At 42.7% G+C, this 18,907-nt stretch overlaps 1 protein-coding gene and 1 non-coding gene across 4 annotated transcripts in view; both read right to left on the bottom strand.

Annotated features, from left to right (window-relative positions):
- RNF214 (ring finger protein 214) overlaps positions 1–18,907 on the bottom strand; it is a 53,784-nt gene that overhangs the window by 21,095 nt on the left and 13,782 nt on the right. For all 3 annotated transcript variants that reach the window (NM_207343.4, NM_001077239.2, NM_001278249.2), the window contains exon 6: positions 18,412–18,551. In NM_207343.4, the coding sequence (NP_997226.2) occupies positions 18,412–18,551 (140 nt within the window). The remainder of the gene's footprint in view (positions 1–18,411; positions 18,552–18,907) is intronic.
- On the bottom strand, positions 1,408–1,561 carry LOC124900313 (small Cajal body-specific RNA 11). Its single transcript, XR_007063007.1, has one exon.

The following is an 18,907-nucleotide window of genomic DNA, read 5'->3' as shown; positions in this document are numbered from 1 at the left end:
TCCAGATACTTTATCCAAGAAAATTATAAATCTTTCTGAATCCACTGGCACGTAGTCTTTTTTTATGATGTCCATTGCCAGTGAATTAGAGAAGCAGATGGGGAAGGAAGAAGACGACCAAATTAAAATGGAATTCTAAAGAACATCCAATTAATTTTCAATTTACATAGTAAAAGTATAGACTTAATCCAATCAAATCAATAATTACATTAAATATAAATGAACTAAAGGCTCTAATTAAAAGGCAGCTTATCAGGCTAGATTAAGAGAACCAATTTTTTTTTTTTTTTTTGAGATAGAGTCTCACTCTGTTGCCCAAGCTGGAGTGCAGTGGCGTGATCTAGGCTCACTGCAACCTCCGCCTCCTGGGTTTAAGCAATTCTCCTGCCTCAGCCTCCCCAAGTAGCTGGGAGTACAGACACATGCCACCACGCCCAGCTAATTTTTTTTTTATTTTTAGTAGAGACGAGGTTTCACCATGTTGGCCAGGCTGGTCTTGAACTCTTGACCTCAGGTGATCCGCCCACCTTGGCTTCCCAAAGTGCTGAGATTACAGTCATGAATCACCTAAGAGGACCCAATTATAGGCTGTCTACAAAGCATACAGAAACATAGAAAGGCTGAAGGGGAAAGGATTGAAAAACATATACCATGTAAAAAGTAAGTATAAGACAAATGCAGTGTCTATAGCAATATCACATAAAGTAAACTGTAATATAAAGAGTATGACTAAGATAAAGAGGGACATTTCATAATGACAAAATAGCCAACTTATCAATGTTGGGGCTCAGGGCACTCCACCCCAAAATACAACTTAAAACAATTTTTTTAATTTTTAATTTTTGTGGGTACATAGTAGGTGTATCCAAAATACAACTTTAGGTGACCAGAATATGTCATTCCAAAATATACCCCTTTGACATACTAATTATTTCAAGATGAGTATATTGAGAAACTGCAGATATAGGAATAGCTCTGAAAACTTTCCCTTCTGTAAAGAAAACCTGCCATCTCTAAAACAATTTTCTTTTTTTTTTGAGATGGAGTCTCGCTCTGTCACCCAGGCTGGAGTGCAGTGGTGCGATCTCGGCTCACTGCAAGCTCCGCCTCCCGGGTTCACGCCATTCTCCTGCCTCAGCCTCCCAAATAGCTGGGACCACAGGCGCCCGCCACCACGACCGGCTAATTTTTTTGTATTTTTAGTAGAGACGGGGTTTCACCGTGTTAGCCAGGATGGTCTCGATCTCCTGACCGCGTGATCCGCCCGCCTCGGCCTCCCAAAGTGCTGGGATTACAGGCGTGAGCCACCGCGCCCGGCCCCAAAACAATTTTCATCAGTAAAAGTAAGTCTACCAAGAAGAGAGCTGCTCCAATACCACTTATCACCTGAAAAACATTTTTTTAAAAATTGTAATCTTGTGCCTTGGGACAGCTCTATTCTAAAGACAGTCCTCCTAAACTGAAGGAGACTGCTGTGTGTCCTGCCAGACTACCTTGTTAGAACTGAGCACAGGGGGACCAAAAAAGCAGAGGGGAGTAGAAAAAGCATAGGCCAGGACAATTACAGAGATTTTTACCTACATAACAAGGCAATTTGTATTCACCATATGTTTCTTCCCCTCGCTTGCCCATAATTTGTTTCTGCCACCCCCTAGAAGTCCCAAGCCTCTCTTCCTTTCTATAGCTCAAGCTGCTACGTAAGTGTCAATCATCTGGCCCTTTAATCTGATATTTTTGTGGGACTCCTACGTATGCACGCATGCACACATAATTAAAATTTTTTTTCTGCTGGGTGCGGTGGCTCACGCCTGTAATCCCAGCACTTTGGGAGGCCGAGGCGGGTGGATCATGAGGTCAGGAGTTCAAGACCAGCCTGGCCAACATGGTGAAACCCCATCTCTACTAAAAATACAAAAATTAGCCGGGCATGGTGGCGTGTGCCTGTAATCCCAGCCACTTGCGGGGCTGAGGCAGGAGAATCGCTTGCACCCAGTAGGCGGAGGTTGCAGTGAGCCGAGACTGCACCACTGCACTCCAGCCAACACAGCGAGACTCCATCTCAAAAAAAAAAAAGTTTTTTTTTCTCCTGTTAATCTGTCTCATGTAAACTAAATTAATGACCCAGCTAAAGAACTTAGGGAAACCATTTTTCCCTCCCCTATAATAACAATCATAAATGTATGTGTATCTAACAATACAGTTTCAAAATATAAGAAACAAAAACTGACTGAATAAAAAGGAAAAAAAAAAAGTGGCTGGGCGTAGTGGCTCACGCCTGTAATCTCAACACTTTGGGAGGCTGAGGCAAGTGGAGTGCTTGAGCCCAGGAGTTCAAGACCAGCCTGGGCCACATGGTGAAACTCCGTCTCTATGAAAAATACAAAAATTAGCCAGGTGTGGTAGTGCACAGCTGTAGTCACAGCTTCTCACGAGGCTGAGGTGGGAGAATTGTGTGAACCCGGGTTGAAGCTGCAGTGAGCCATGATTGTGCCACTGCACTTCAACCTGGGTGGCAGAGCAACACCCTGTCTCAAAAACAAAAAAGAAAAGAAAAGAGCTATAATCATAGAGATTTTAACATCCCTCTGGCCTAAGTAACTGATATAACTAAATTTTAAAAATTAAACACACACACACACACACACACACACAACGTTCCTCAATAAACACAGACAAAGGGCCAGGCATGGTAGCTCACGCTTGTAATCTCAGCACTTAGGGAGGCCAAGGCAGGAGGATCACTTGCGGCCAGGAGTTCAAGATCAACCTAGACAATATAGCGAGACCCTGTATTTACAAAAAATTTTTAAAAATTAGCCAGGCATGGTGGCACATGCCTGTAGTCCCAGTTACTTGGGAGGCTGAGGTGAGAGGATCACTTGAGCCCATGAGTTTGAGGCTCCAGTGAGCTATGACATATCACTGCATCCCAGCCTGGGCAACAAAGCAAGACCCCAACTCAAAAACCAAACAGGCCAGGTGCGGTGGCTCAAGCCTGTAATCCCAGCACTTCGGGAGGCCGAGGCAGGCAGATCACCAAGTCAGGAGTTTGAGACCATCCTGGCCAACATGGTGAAACCCTGTCACTACTAAAAATACAAAAAAATTAGCCGGGCGTGGTGGCGGGTGCCTGTAGTCCCAGCTACTCAGGAGGCTGAGGCAGGAGAATGGTGTGAACCCGGGAGGCGGAGCTTGCAGGGAGGCAGAGCTTGCAGTGAGCCGAGATTGCACCACTGCACTCCAGCCTGGGGGACGGAGCCAGACTCGTATCTCAAAAAAAAAAAGAAAAACCAAACAAACTGAAAAAAAAAAACAGACACAAATTTGGCAACATATAAAAACAATGTCTTGTCCATGTAGGGTTTATCTCACAAATGGAAGGTTGGTTTAACATTTGAAAAAAATAAATCAATGGGCCAGGTGTGGTGGCTCACACCTGTAATCCCAGCACTTTGGGAGGCTGAGCCAGGCAGACGGCTTGAGGTCAGGAGATCGAGACCAGCCTGGCCAACATGGTGAAACCTCGTCTCTACTAAAAATACAAAAATTAGCTGGGCATGGTGGCAGGCACCAGTAATCCCAGCTACTCGGGAGTCTGAGGCAGGAAAATTGCTTGAACCCAGGAGGCGGAGGCTGCAGTGAGCCGAGACTATGCCACGGCACTCCATCCTGGGCGACAGAGGGAGACTCTGTCACACTCACACAAAAATTAATTAAATAAAATAAAGTAATACACTGTATTGACATAATAAAGGAAAAAAATCATTTGATAATTTTTTTGAGATAGAGTCTTGCTCTGTTGCCCAAGCTGAAGTGCAGTGGCGTGATCTCAGCTCACTGCAACCTTCGCCTTCCAGGTTCAAGAGATTCTCCAGGCTCAGCCTCCTGAGTAGCTGGGTTTACAGGCGCCTGCCACCATGCCTGGCTAATTTTTATATTTTTGGTAGAGATGGGATTTCACCATGTTGGCCAGGTTGGTCTCCAACTCCTGACCTCAGGTAATCCACCCGCCTCGGCCTCCCAAAGTGCTGGGATTACAGGCATGAGCCACTGAGCCCAGCCAATAATTTATAAATATGCAGAAAAAGCATTTGACAAAATGAAGTACCCATTCATTTTAATAAGTCTCAGATAATTAGAAATAGAATGTAACTTCTTCTATTTGACAAAAGGCATACACAAAAAACCTATAGTCAGCATCAAACTTAATGGTAAAATATTAAAGACTTATCTTCTAAGAGCAGGAACAAGGCAAAGATATCTACTTTACCACTTCTATTCAATATTGTACTGGAGGTCCTAGCCAGTGCAATAATATTTATAAGAAATAAAAGGTTTAAGGGTTTGAAAGGAAGATAAAACTGTGTGTACTCAGAGATACCATGACTGTTTATGTAGAAAATCTTGGCCGGGCGAGGTGGCTCACGCCTGTAATCCCAGCACTTTGGGACGCCAAGGCGGGCGGATCATCTGAGGTCGGGAGTTCGAGACCAGCTTGACCAACATGGAGAAACCCCGTCTCTACAAAAAATACAAAATTAGCCGAGCGTGGTGGCGCATGCCTGTAATCCCAGCTACTCGGGAGGCTAAGGAAGGAGAACCGCTTGAACCTGGGAGGCGGAGGTTGCAGTGAGCCAAGATCGCGCCATTATTGCACTCCAGCCTGGGCAACAAGAGTGAAACTCCGTCTCAAATAAAAAAGGAAAAAGAAAAAAAAAAAAGAAATAGAGACTAGGTCTCACTGTGTCACCCAGGCTGGTCTCAAACTCTTGATTTCAAGTGATTTGACCTCCCAAAGTGCTGGGATTACAGGCATGAGCCACCATGCCCAGCAGACAGTGTAATGTAGTATATAGACAAGTATATCAACACAATAGAATAGTATTCAGAATTACACCTACTATTCATACAAGTGACTCATACCGTCATTTGGTTTTTGGCAAAAGTGCCAAGCAATCAAATAGGGAAAGGAAAGTCTTTTCGATAAATGGTGCTGGAACAACTGGATATCTACATGGAAAAAATGAACCTCAACCTTTACTTCTCACCATACACAAAAATTAATTTGAAGAGTGTGGTGGTACATGGCTGTAGTCCCAGCTACTTGGGAGGCTGAGACAGAAGGATTGCTTGAGGCCAGGAGTTCAAGGCTACAGTGAGCTATGACTGCACCTGTGAATAGCCACTGCACTCCAACCTGGGCATCATAGTGAGACCTCGTCTATAAAAAAACAAACACACATTCCAATGTTGTGCCTCCCAGGGGGAGAAAAAAAAAAAAATCAAAGAATTTGAGATGGATCAGAGACATGAATATAAAAGTTAAAATGATAAAGCGTCCATAACAAAATACAGGAGAACATCTTTGCTACTTCAGGGTGGGCAAAGGTAACTTAGAGGAGACAGAGAAAGCACTAACTATAAAAGAAAAGTTTTAATGAATTAGACATTATTTCACCAAAAATGCAATTAAAAAGTAAACAGTCATGTAAGAGGGCAGAAGAAAATTTTTACATAACATATATCTGACAAAGGACTTATATTCAAAATACAAAAAGAACTTCTACTACACAACAATAAAAACTCAAAAACTCAACCCCCCAAGAAAAGGAATAAAAAAGTTAGACACTTCCCAAAATAAAATATACAAACGGCCAATAAGCAAGTAGAAAAAGAGATACCATCATTAGTCATTAGGGATATTAAAACCACAATGATTCAAACCATCTGCAATCTCTAAAAAATAAAAAACACACACAATGAAATACCACTATGCAAGCCCTTGAATAGCAAAGATGTGAAGCAACCAGAACTCTCATATATGGTTGACAGAGTGTAAAATGGTATATGCAATTTGGAAGCATATCTGGCCATTTCTTATAAAACTGTTCATACATCTACCCTACAACCCAGCAGATTATGCTAGGAATCTACCTAAGAGAAATAAAAGAATATGTTTGAAGTCTTTATGACTTGCACTTGAGTGTTCATAGCAGCTTTATTCATTAACAGTCAAAATCTGGAAACTACTACATGATCATCAACAGCAGAATGAATAAACAAACTCCAATACATTAGTAAGAGGAACACTATTCAACAATAAAGCCGGGCACGGTAGCTCACGCCTATAATCCCAGCACTTTGGGAGGCCGAGGCAGGCAGCTCACTTGAGGTCAGGAGTTTGAGACCAGTCTGGGCAACATGGCAAAACCCTGTCTCTACTAAGAATACAAAAATTAGCTGGGCGTGATCGTGCACATCTGTAATCCCAGCTATTCGAAAGGCTGAGGTGGAAAAATTGCTCAAACCCGGCAGGCGGAGGTTGCAGTGAACCAAGATCATGTCACTGCACTCCAGCTTGGACGACAGAGTGAAACTCATTCTCAAAAATAAATAAATAAAATAAAATAGAATAAACACAGTAAAAACGGACAACATGAATATTAAAAGCATTCTGCCGAAAGAAATAATTCTGATACAAAAGAGTACACTGTATAAGATTGATTCCATTTATGTGAAGCACTGGAACATGCAGAACTAAACTATGGTAAAAAACCACAACAATGGTTGGTTTGGGGAGAGTGGGGGCAGGGACTGACTGAGAAGGCACAAGAGTGAACTTTCAGGTTTAACAGTAATGTATTTTATATATCTTGATGGGGTCTGAATTACTCAAGTGCATACATTTGTCAAAACTCACTGAATGGTTCCCTTAAGATTTATGTATTTTTCAACCAGTGGACTTGCTAAGTGAAAAAAGAAAAAAAAAAGATTTGTATATTTAACTGCATATACATTTTATTACCCAAAAATGCAAATAAATAATATTAAACTCTAATTAATTATGTACATGTATATATGTTCAGGGGCAAAGTTACTGATGACTGCAACTTATTCTGATATGCAATGAAAAAATAAGACCTCAGATAAAAAAAAAGAAAGAAAAAATAAGACCTCGTGTGGTGTCTCCTCTCAACGAAAAAGAAAAGACGGGGCTGGGCGTGGTGGCTCACGCCTGTAAATCCCAGCACTTTGGGAGGCCGAGTGGGTGGATCATGACATCAAGAGATTGAGACCATCCTGGCCAACATGGTGAAACCCCATTTCTACTAAAAATACAAAAATCAGCTGGGTGTGGTGGCATGCACCTGTAGTCCCTGCTACTAGGGAGGCTGAGGCAGGAGAATTGCTTGAACCTGGAAGGCAAAGGTTGCAGTGAGCGCTCCAGCCTGGCGACAGAGCGAGACTCTGTCTCAAAAAAAGAAAAAAAAAAAGAAAAAGAAAAGACAGATTGATGAATAGATAGAGGCATGACAGATGGAAAGGCTGACAAAAACAACTGTAGTAGAATATTAATTGTTGAATCCAGGTGGTCAGTGTTAATGTACAATACTTTCAGCTTCTCTCAATGTTTGAAAATTTTCATAACAAAATATTAGGGGAGAAGTAAATCCAGTAATTTAATTCCTTTGCCTAAAAATCCCAGTTGATTACTGAATAGCATCACAACACTCAACAATTACCAATTAGTATTATTCAGACTTGGTTCTCATTTATTTCCCTGCAGATTCTAATACTATTAAGCATCCTCTTCCTTTGGAAAATGCATACTACTATTCTAAACTATTTCCCTTTCTTTCTCTCATTATTCTTTTTGTCTTTCCTACTTACTTCTACTCCCAAACTGTAAGTATAACTCAGAGTGTAGTACTAAGCCCTTCTCTATTTTCCCACCAAAAATTCCCTTCCATTGTAACTATCGTCTCTATGTTGTCAACTCTCAATCAAGACAGAGCATCTCTTCTACATTCAAGTCTCTCATTTCCAATGACCTACTGAGTACTTGAATGTCCCATATCATCAAATGTATGACTTCACCCTCAAAATTGAGAACAAGAATTCCAACGGTGATGTTATTTTTTACTTTTTCTGTTTTGTTTCTCAAAATAATCAGACAATTCTTCCTGAATCCATTTCTTTTCCATTTCATTTCATTCCACCACTAGTCTGATAATGATTTTTTTGAGACAGGATCTCACTCTGTTGCCCAGGCTGGAGTGCAGTGGCACAGTCATGGCTCATTACAACCTTGACCTTCTGAGCTCAAGCAATCCTCCCACCTCTGCCCCCCAAGTAGTGGGACTACAGGCACACACCAACATGCCCAGCTAATTTCTGTATTTTTTGTAGAGATGGGATTTCGCCATGTTGCCCAGGCTGGTCTCGAACTCCTGCGCTCAAGTAATCCTCCTACTTTGGCCTCCCAAAGAGCTGGGATTATAGGCATGTGAGCCACTGCGGCAGGCCATAATGATTCTTATAATTATACTCACTTTATTGCAAAGAGTGTACTGGCTGATGTCCCAGTCTCTGTCTCTCCCTACAACTCATCCTAAATATTTCTAAAAGATCTTTAATTATGTATCTCTTATTTGTGTAACTTTTATTATTTCCCGTATCTAGAAGATATTACTATATACTAAGCAGAAAAAGTGAAATGTGCTACTTGCTGTAGTAGCAAGTCTCCAAAGATGAGCCCCTCCCAATGAACCAAGCCTCCTAGTGATCACATTCTGTGTAGTCCTTTCCCACACAAATCTGGGTTAGTCCTGTGACTCATATTGACCAACAGAATGTCACAGAACTAGCACTGTACTGGTTCAAAATCTAAGCCTTAAGAGAGCCTGGCAGCTTCTGCTTTGGAACTCAGAGCTCTGGGCTACCATGTAAGAAATCTGGCTCATCTGCTGGAAAGACCACCTGGAGAGGGAAAAGCCCCGAGACTATATGGCAAGAGTGAGAATGAGAAAAGCATGGCATCCCAATGTTCCAGCTGAGCTCAGCTTTCCAGGAGTCCCCCACAATGTGCCAGGGATATGAATGAAGCCATGTTGGATATCCTAGCCCCAGCCACAACCTGACCGGAGCCACATGAATGACTCCAAACAAGGCCAACAGAACCATCCATCTGAGAAGCAATCCACCCAAAGAATTGTGAGAAATAATAAAATACTATTGTTTCAAGATATTAACTTTTACAGTGGTATTTTTACACAGTGACAGCTAATCAAAACAGTTGTCCTCAAGAAGCTAACTATATAATGGTGAAAGCAGTTAAGTAAACAAAAAAGGCCACGAAGAAGTGTTATGATAGCAGTATACACAACATGCTAGGTGAGTGAAGAGGAGGATTAGCTATATTAGTCAGTCAGGGTGTGTAAAGGGGAGGGAGGGAGAGTGTCTGGGAAAGCTTTCTAGAGCAGGTGGCACAGGCTGAGTTTTAAGTACGTTCAGAATACTGCATATAGTAGTTAGGTATAAACCAGCACGGTTGTGTGGGCAAGTAATAAGGTCATACCTAGAGATATAAATGTGAAAGAGGTAACTGAAGGCCTCTTATACTAAGTAAAGGGTTAAAACTTTACCCTAAATACTATACAGAACTATGAAAAAATTTAAGCAGGGAAATGACATTATCAGATTTGTATCTTGGAATGATTTCAATGGTAGCAGTGAATTAGACAATGAGAAAGGAGGCAGGCAGGAAGCAAAGAAAGTTTAGGAGCCCACCTTGGTACTCTACGAAAACTAAAGAGAACTTGACAGTGACAGAGAGAAAGAATAATTAATACTAAGAATATACAAGAGGCTGGGTGTAGTGGCCAGTGACAGAGAGAAAGAATAATTAATACTAAGAATACACAAGAGGCTGGGTGTAGTGGCTCATTCCTATAATCCCAGCACTTTGGGAGGCTGAGGTGGGAGGATCACTTGAGCCCAGGGGGTCAAGACCAGCCTGGGCAACAGAGTTGAGACCCTGTCTCTACGAAGAAAAAAAAATTAAAGAATAAAAACAAGAAATTATATTGAATATTGACAATGAAATTGTAAAAAGAACAAAAATAAGGGCACCTACAAGACATAGTAAAGTGCATGTGATGGAAAGGGCTAAGAGGGGAATTTAGGATGGCCCCAGTATTCAGCTTACACACTAGAGGAAAAAGTGGAGTCATCTATGGAGAAATAGCAGAAGCAAAAGGGAGTGGGATGCACACACAGGTAGAATTATAGACTCAGATACAAGGACAGGAAGAAAGGAAGAATGCCTCTGCTGATGGTTAGAAAACTGAGGGAAGTTTCCATTGATGACACCTTGTTTCTGAGAAATAAAAGACAAGATCATCTGCTAAGGGTAAGAAGAGAAATGGTGGAGACAGGAAGTTTAGAAAGAGAGATTTAAATTTGGGATAGACCTCTGAGGAAGAGGAGTTCAAGACTAGCCTGGCCAACATGGTGAAACCTTGTCTCTACTAAAAATACATCTGAGGATCCAGGTGATGTTGTAAGTCATAAATGTATTCTGGCCCCAAGACACACAGTTGTGTGATTTTCTCCAGCAGCACTCAGCAGCCCAGGTGTAAGAATGAAGAGGTGGGCTAGGCGCAGTGGCTCAAGCCTATAATCTGAGCACTTTGGGAGGCCGAGGCAGGTGGATCACTTGAGGTCAGAAGTTCAAAACCATCCTGGCCAACAATGATGAAACCCCGTCTCTAATAAAAATATAAAAAATTAGCCGGGCATGGTGGTGGGTGCCTGTAATCCCAGCTACTCAGGAGGCTGAGGCAGGAGAATCACTTGAACCCAGGAGGCGGAGGTTGCAGTGAGCTGAGATCGTGCCACTGGACTCCAGCCTGGGTGACAGAGCGAGACTCTGTCTCAAAAAAAAAAAAGAAGAAGAACGAAGAGGTCAGGTGGCTGACTTGACTCAGGACTGGAGTAATACAGGAAAATAAAATGAAAAGAACAAGGCACCAAGAGAATTGATGGTAATGGTAAGCAAGTAAATCCAGTAACAGACCATAAGTCTAGGCTGGCTATGGAAAGAAATACTTCCAGGGAGTTGACAGACTCAAAGGAAATGGAGTGAGGGGTCACTGAACAAGAAAGAGATCTTGATACGGTCAAAGTGTAAATTTATTGGGAATAAGACAAAGTCAGAAGGACACTTGAGTGGGACATTCAAGTACATTCAAGGGCTAGGATTACATGTGTGAACTACCTTGCCTGGCCTCAATTTTAATTTAGCATGCACTTTGTTTTTTTTTTTCTTTGAGATGGAGTCTTGCTCTGTCACCCAAGCTGGAGTTCAGTGGCGCGATCTCAGCTCACTGCAACCTCCACCTCCCGGGTTTAAGCAATTCTTGTGTCTCAGCCTCCCAAGTAGTTGGGACTACAGGCGGCCACTACCACACCTGGCTAATTTTTTTAAGTACAGATGGGGTTTCGCCATGTTGGCCAGGCTGGTCTCCAACTCCTGACCTCAGGTGATCTGCCCCACTCGGCCTCCCAAAGTGCTGGGATTACAGGCACAAGCTACTGCGCCCAGCCAACATAGACTCTTATATTACACCCAGAGTGATGCTTCCAATGAATAACTCCCTTAATCTGCTACTTACCTATCCTATGAATTGATCAGGCAAGTTCAGAGAATTTTTTTTAAAGAAGAAAAATATTGCTTGATATTGCAGTTTTTATGCTCCTTGTCCAAAGCTACATCCATGAAAATATAAATCAATTATGTCTTTTAAAACACAGGGTCACCACGAGCCTTACTTACTGCCATTCTCAATGAGTCACCGTTGTCTTGTTGTTGTTGTCGTTTATTTATTTATTTATTTTTTATAGAGATAAGGTCTCACTATATTGCCCAGGCTGGTCTCAAACTCCTGGGCTCAAGCAATCCTCCCGCCTTGGCCTCCCAAAGTGCTGGGATTACAGGCATAAGCCATCGCACCTGCACACAATAAGTCACTGTTAAAGGTAGGGAGCTTAAAAGAGGTTCTGCACTGGAAGAGCACTAACAGGGAAACCTCACCTTTCTAATGCCAGCAATAACCTGAAGGATAAAAGCTGAGAACTAGAAATTATCCCTGCAAAAGCAAGACAATTTCCAGGACAAAGCAGCCAGGTGTCCAGGAGAAAAAAAATCAAATACATGACTAAACTAAATATTTGATCTTTTACACTTTGGTAAATTCAGTTTGTCTCCTTTAAAAATTATAATTAGACCAGGCACAGTGGTTCACGCCTGTAATCCTAAAATTTTGAGAGGTCAAGGGCAGGAGTTTGAGATCAGCCTGGCCAACAAACTGAGATCCAGTCTCTACAAAACAGAAAAACTTAGATGGGCATGGTGGTGCACACCTGTAGTCCCAGCTACTTGGGAAGCTGAGGCAGGAGGATGGCTTGAGCTCAGGAGTTCAAGGCTTTAGTGAGCCATGACTGTACCACTACACTCTAGCTGGGCCAACAGAGTGAGATCCTGTTTCTAAAAATAAAAAAATTATAATTACATTGAAATACATAGTGACTACCTTCAAATAGTACAAAGCACTTAGCAGATTTCTATTAAGTAAATTCATCTTTAATTAATATTAATGTGAAATTCCCTTAATTTCCAATCCAGTGATAGAATAAACACTTATCAAATAATTACCAGATATATGGCACTAAAAGAATAAAACATTAAAAAAAATTTCAGGCCAGGTGAGGCGGCTCATGCCTGTAATCCCAGCACTTTGGGAGGCCAAGGCGGGCGGAACAGGAGGTCAGGAGAGCGAGACCATCCTGGCTAACACAGTGAAACCCCGTCTCTACTAAAAATACAAAAAATGAGCTGGGCGTGGTGGCAGGCACATGTAGTCCCAGCTACTCGGGAGGCTGAGGCAGGAGAATCGCTTGAATCCGGGAGGTGGAGACTGCAGTGAACCAAGATCACGCCACTGCGCTCCAGCCTGGGCGACAAAGCAAGACTCCGTCTCAAAAAAAAAAAATTCAGATTCAGTTCATAAAGAAATGGCACAGGCAATTTTGCAAAGAAGGCAGAATTTAAGTTAAAACGTATAAGACAGATAAGACATCTTATCAAAGAATCCCATTATTTCCCTAATTTTCCAAGCCAGAAATATGGGAGTTATCCCTAACTCAACCCTGTCTACCCACATTGATCAGTGCTGCCCCTAAATGTCTTACAAATGTGTTCACTTCTCTCATTCCCACTGGCACTACTTTAGTTTCAGCCATAATTATGCTAACCTAGGCTCTGACAAGATAAGTCTCCTAACTGGTCAAATACACTAATCCAATCCATTTTCCAACTGCCCAAGTAATCTACTGAAAATGCAAATCATAGGCCAGGCAGGATGGCTCACACCTGTAATCCCAGAACTTTGGGAGGCCAAGGCGGGCACATCACTTGAGGTCAGGTGTTCAAGACTAGCCTGGCCAACATGGTGAAACCTCGTCTCTACTAAAAATACAAAAATTAGTCGGGCGTGGTGGCACAGGCCTGTAGTTCCAGCTACTCAGGAGGCTGAGGCAGGAGAATCACTTGAACACAGGAAGTGGAGGTTGCAGTGAGCCAAGATCGTGCCACTGCACTCCTGCCTGGGCAACAGAGTGAGACTCTGTCTCAAAAAATGAAAAAGTAAAATAAAATAAAAATAAAATGCAAATTGTATCATTTGATACTCTCCTCCCTTAAAATCCTTCAATATCTCTATCATGGAAAAACCCAAACTCCTTAACACAGTATAAAAGCCTTTCTGATCTGGCCTCACTCCCCCACTTCACGTCTTGCTTGCTTTTCTCTCACATCTCTGAGCCCCCTGCCGGCAGTGTCTTTTCCTTCATTTGTTGCCTGGCTAATTCTTCCCTATACCTACCCTGACCCCTGCTACTTTTTCTTCGAAAATTTCAAACCAAGAAAAAGTTAATAAAATAATAAAATGACCCGGCCAGCCGCCCCGTCCGGGAGGGAGGTGGGGGGGTCAGCCCCCCGCCCGGCCAGCCGCCCCGTCCGGGAGGGAGGTGGGGGGGTCAGCCCCCCGCCCGGCCAGCCGCCCCGTCCGGGAGGGAGGTGGGGGGGTCAGCCCCCCGCCAGGCCAGCCGCCCCGTCCGGGAGGGAGGTGGGGGGGTCAGCCCCCCGCCCGGCCAGCCGCCCCGTCCGGGAGGTGAGGGGCGCCTCTGCCCGGCCGCCCCTACTGGGAAGTGAGGAGCCCCTCTGCCCGGCCAGCCGCCCCGTCCCGGAGGGAGGTGGGGGGGTCAGCGGGGTCAGCCCCCCGCCCGGCCAGCCGCCCCGTCCGGGAGGTGCGGGGCGCCTCTGCCCGGCCGCCCCTACTGGGAAGTGAGGAGCCCCTCTGCCAGGCCACCACCCCGTCTGGGAGGTGTACCCAACAGCTCGTTGAGAACGGGCCATGATGACAATGGCGGTTTTGTGGAATAGAAAGGGGGGAAAGGTGGGGAAAAGATTGAGAAATTGGATGGTTGCCGTGTCTGTGTAGAAAGAGGTAGACATGGGAGACTTTTCATTTTGTTCTGTACTAAGAAAAATTCTTCTGCCTTGGGATCCTGTTGATCTGTGACCTTACCCCCAACCCTGTGCTCTCTGAAACATGTGCTGTATCCACTCAGGGTTGAATGGATTAAGGGCGGTGCAAGATGTGCTTTGTTAAACAGATGCTTGAAGGCAGCATGCTCGTTAAGAGTCATCACCACTCCCTAATCTCAAGTACCCAGGGACACAAACACTGCGGAAGGCCGCAGGGTCCTCTGCCTAGGAAAACCAGAGACCTTTGTTCACTTGTTTATCTGCTGACCTTCCCTCCACTATTGTCCTGTGACCCTGCCAAATCCCCCTCTGCGAGAAACACCCAAGAATGATCAATAAAAAAAAAAAATTAAAAAAAAAATAAATAAATAAATAAATAAAAATAATAAAATGAATGTCTACCTGTCATCTAAATTTACCAGTTGTTGCATTTTTTTTGCCACATTTACATCATGACACTTAACTCCTAAAACTTCAGCAAGTATCTCTTATGAACAAGAACATCCTTCTACATAATGAAACAATGTCATAATCACATGTAAAATATTTTTTTAATTTCTTAAACTTTTTTCAACAACATGGGTTTATACACCCAAAATACATAACACTGACACAGTATTACTTAACACGTAGTCACTATTGAAATTTTCCCAATTATTCCAAAATGTCCTATAATTATACTTTGTTTAATTCAGGATCAAACCAAGGATCATGCATTTCATTTGGTGGTTATCTTCTGCCCCTTATTTTTCAGGACTCAGTTCTGGAATGATATTCCCTGGGAAGCCCTCTGTGACTCCCCCTACCCAGTATGGGTTATATGCCTCTTTCAGATGCTTTCATACCACCACTGTCATGGTATCATTACACTATTTTGCAATCATCTGTTTATCTATGTCTCTCACAATAAACAGTAATCTCTTTGAAGACTTTTTACTCTCCAGGCCCTACTGTCTGGCTCATAGTAGATACTCAATAAATGCTGGCTGAACAAATGAATGAAAACACTATAAACAGGAAATACAATTGTTATGGACTGAATTGTGCCCCTTAAAACTCGTATCTTGAAGCCCTAACCCCAGTGTAATTGTATTTGGATACAGGGCCTTGAAGGAGGCAATTATGGTTAAATGAAGTCATAAAGTGGGAACCTAATCCAATAGAATTGGTGTCCTTATAAGAGGAAGAGACACCAGGAATGTGCATGCATAGCACAAAAGCCATGTGAGACCAGAAGAAGGCAGCTGTCGGCAAACCAGGAAAAGATTCTCACCAGAAACCAAACCTGCCAGCATCTTTATGTCGGATTTCCAGCCTCCAAGAACTGTAAAATATTCTGCTGTTTAAGCCACGTAGTCAGTGGTATTCTGTTATGGCAGGCCAAGGTGAATAATATAATGACCAAAATCTATGTGTCCCGGTTCCTATGAATGATGGAATGCTAAGCAGAACCTACACCACTGCTAGAACAAAGATACCTACAAGAGACATTCCCCCTGCTTCCGGAAAACTGAACCCCACATTTAACAGAAAGAATGGCAGAAAACATTATTCTCACACCGTGACATATACATTTAAAGAAAAAAAATGGATCTTCAAGAACACAAACACCAAAATTATTAGTATCAATCACCATCTGTAGCAATTCAATCAGATGGAAAAGGTAGTAGAGTTACATAAAGAATGTAAAGAGTAAAAGTGAGTTTGTTGAAGGTAAAAAACAATAAAAATTAAAAATTAAAAAAAGGCTGGGCACGGTAGCTCACACCTGTAATCCCAGCACTTTGGGAGGCCAAGGCAGGTGGATCGCTTGAAGCCAGAAGTTTGAGATTAGCCTGGTCAACGAGTGAGATTCTCATCTCTATAAAAAAATTTAAAAAATTATCTGGGCATGATGGCACTCGCCTGTAATCCCAGATACTCAGGTGACTGAGGCAAAAGAATCACTTGAACCCGGGAGGTGGAGCTTGCATGAGCCGAGATTGCGCCACTGCACTCCAGCCTGGGCAACAGAGCAAGACTGTCTCAAAAAAAAAAAGAATGTAAAGAACACACATCAAAAGGAAATTTTCTGCGGGGCTTAGAATAACATTATAGACTCATCTTCCCAGTTTCTGCACTTTAATATCTCCTGTTAAGTTGCTACATGCCTATGGTCATCTTCCTCACACAGATTGTGAAGACAATGGCAGAGACCATGTCATGGGGTGGGAGCAACTGCTTTGATCACTAACAGTGGCTGGGATAATGTTCTATTCCAGGTACACTCCTCATAATTTCTGGAAAATTATCATTATAGACAACTGACCCACCTTCTAATCATTCAGTATCACTAGATTCTCAACAGAACAACTGATTGGTCTACAAGCCCTCTCTCAAACACAATTCCTCATGTTGAGCTTCACAATTATTATCTTGGAGACTCAGAAAATGATTCAGCACATGAGCTTGCTAACTCAGCAGTCTGACGCATTAGCAAAAGCCAAAATTTTTTTGATAAACAAAAAACATTTTGGTAGAATTTAAATAAAATCAACCGAGTATTCACAGCTATTATGATTTCCAAACAGGTCATTTTAAGAAACTTAGAAAATTGGCTGGGCGCGGTGGCTCATGCCTGTAATCCCAGCACTTTGGGAGGCCGAGGCAGGCGGATCATGAGGTCAGGAGATCGAGACCATCCTGGCTAACACGGTGAAACCCCGTCTCTCCTAAAAATACAAAAATGTTAGCCAGGCATGGTGGCGGGCGCCTGTAGTCCCAGCTACTCAGGAGGCTGAGGCAGGAGAATGGCGTGAACCCGGGAGGTGGAGCTTGCAGTGAGCTGAGATCGTGCCACTGCACTCCAGCCTGGGGAACAGAGCAAGACTCCGTCTCAAAAAAAGAAAAAAAAGAAACTTAGAAAATTGAGAAGCTGACCAAATTCTATGCCCACTTTGCTTTTTCTGCAGTACCCAGAAAAGGACACAAATCCTCTAAATAATTCTTTCACAAACAGCTTACAATGTTACTGTTTGAAATTTACTTTGGATGCTGAATAACACAAATGTAATCATTCAAAATATGCTCATGGTCTGAACTTTGTTTTTTTTTGTTTTGTTTTTTTTTTTTTTTGAGACAGGGTCTCACTCTGTTGCCAGGCTGAAGTCCAGTGGCACGATCTCAGCTCACTGCAACCTCCGCCTCCTGCCTCCTGGATTCAAGCGATTCCCCTGCCTCAGCTTCCCGAGTAGCTGAGACTACAGGTGCACGCCGCCACGCCTGGCTAATTTTGTGTATTTTAGTAGAGATGGGGTTTCACCATATTGGCCAGGATGGTCTCGATCTCCTGACCTCGTGATCCACCTGCCTCGGCCTCCCAAGGTGCTGGGATTACAGGCGTGAGCCACTGTGCCTGTCCCATGGTCTGAACTTGTAAATATCAGGTTATAAAGTGAGATCGGTGTTAGATTCATATAAAAAAAATTTTTTTTTAAGAGACAAGGTCTTGCTCTGTCACCCAAGCTGGAGTGCAGTGGCGTAATCACAGCTGACTGCAGCCTGGAACTCCTGGGCTCAAGTGATTCTTCCACCTCAGCCTCCCAAGTAGCTAGGACTACAGCCACGTGCCACCACAACCAGCTAATTTTTTTTTAATATTTTTTGTAGAGAGGGGGTCTTGCTAGGTTGCTCAGGCTGGTCTCAAACTCCTGGCCTCAAGCAATCTTCCCACCTTGGTGTCCCAAAGCGCTGGGATTATAGGTGTGAGCCGCTACGTCCAGCCCGTATCGAACTCTTGACCACACTTGGGACTCAACAATTAACTGTTATTATTTCAAAGTATTTAATAAATCTCTGAACTTTTTTCTATTAAGTCTAATGTTTGATACTGAAAAAGCTAAAGTCATTGGAGAGTTTTTACTTGTACACTTGTTTTTCAAATAAAAATTAAACCGAAGGGAAAGAAACTACAAATACAAACGGGTCTGGCCCCTCATGCATATATACATACACACAGGGTTTTTATTCTTAACATCAGTTACCTTCTGCCCTTCTCACAAAGCTTCTCAATTTCAGCTTTCAGATCCTGCTCCTTCTGCAAAAACTCCTTCTTCTCTTTCTCTATCTTCTTCTTTGTTTCTTCCCGCTTTATTGTCACATCCTGAATAGCCTTTAATATCTCCTGAGTTCCACACAATTACAGTCGCACACAAATAAAAAAGAAAATAAGTTAGTTCTTTTGATGCAAAGGTTATTTTCAACTATCACAAATTCACGTATTGACTTTAGTGAATTCAAATTGAATTGAAAGAATGTGGTTGATGAGTAGCTCCAAAAGCCAGTATTCAGACCTAAAGGAGAAAGTTATAGTAATGCAGATTTCAACTCAACAGGAAAAATAATTTCTAGCAATCGCAATTGTTCAAAAATGAAATATACTGCCTTGTGAAGCAGTAAGCTCTTCATTACTGGTGTTCAAATAAAGGCTGAATGAACACCTGTCAAGAATGCTGAGAAAGGTGTTCTTGTACCAGGGAG

Source organism: Homo sapiens, chromosome 11 (genome assembly GCF_000001405.40).
Source record: "Homo sapiens chromosome 11, GRCh38.p14 Primary Assembly".
NCBI lineage: Eukaryota > Metazoa > Chordata > Mammalia > Primates > Hominidae > Homo > Homo sapiens.
The sequence above is the reverse complement of the archived record's forward strand: the minus strand, read 5'-3'. Positions and strand labels throughout refer to the sequence as shown.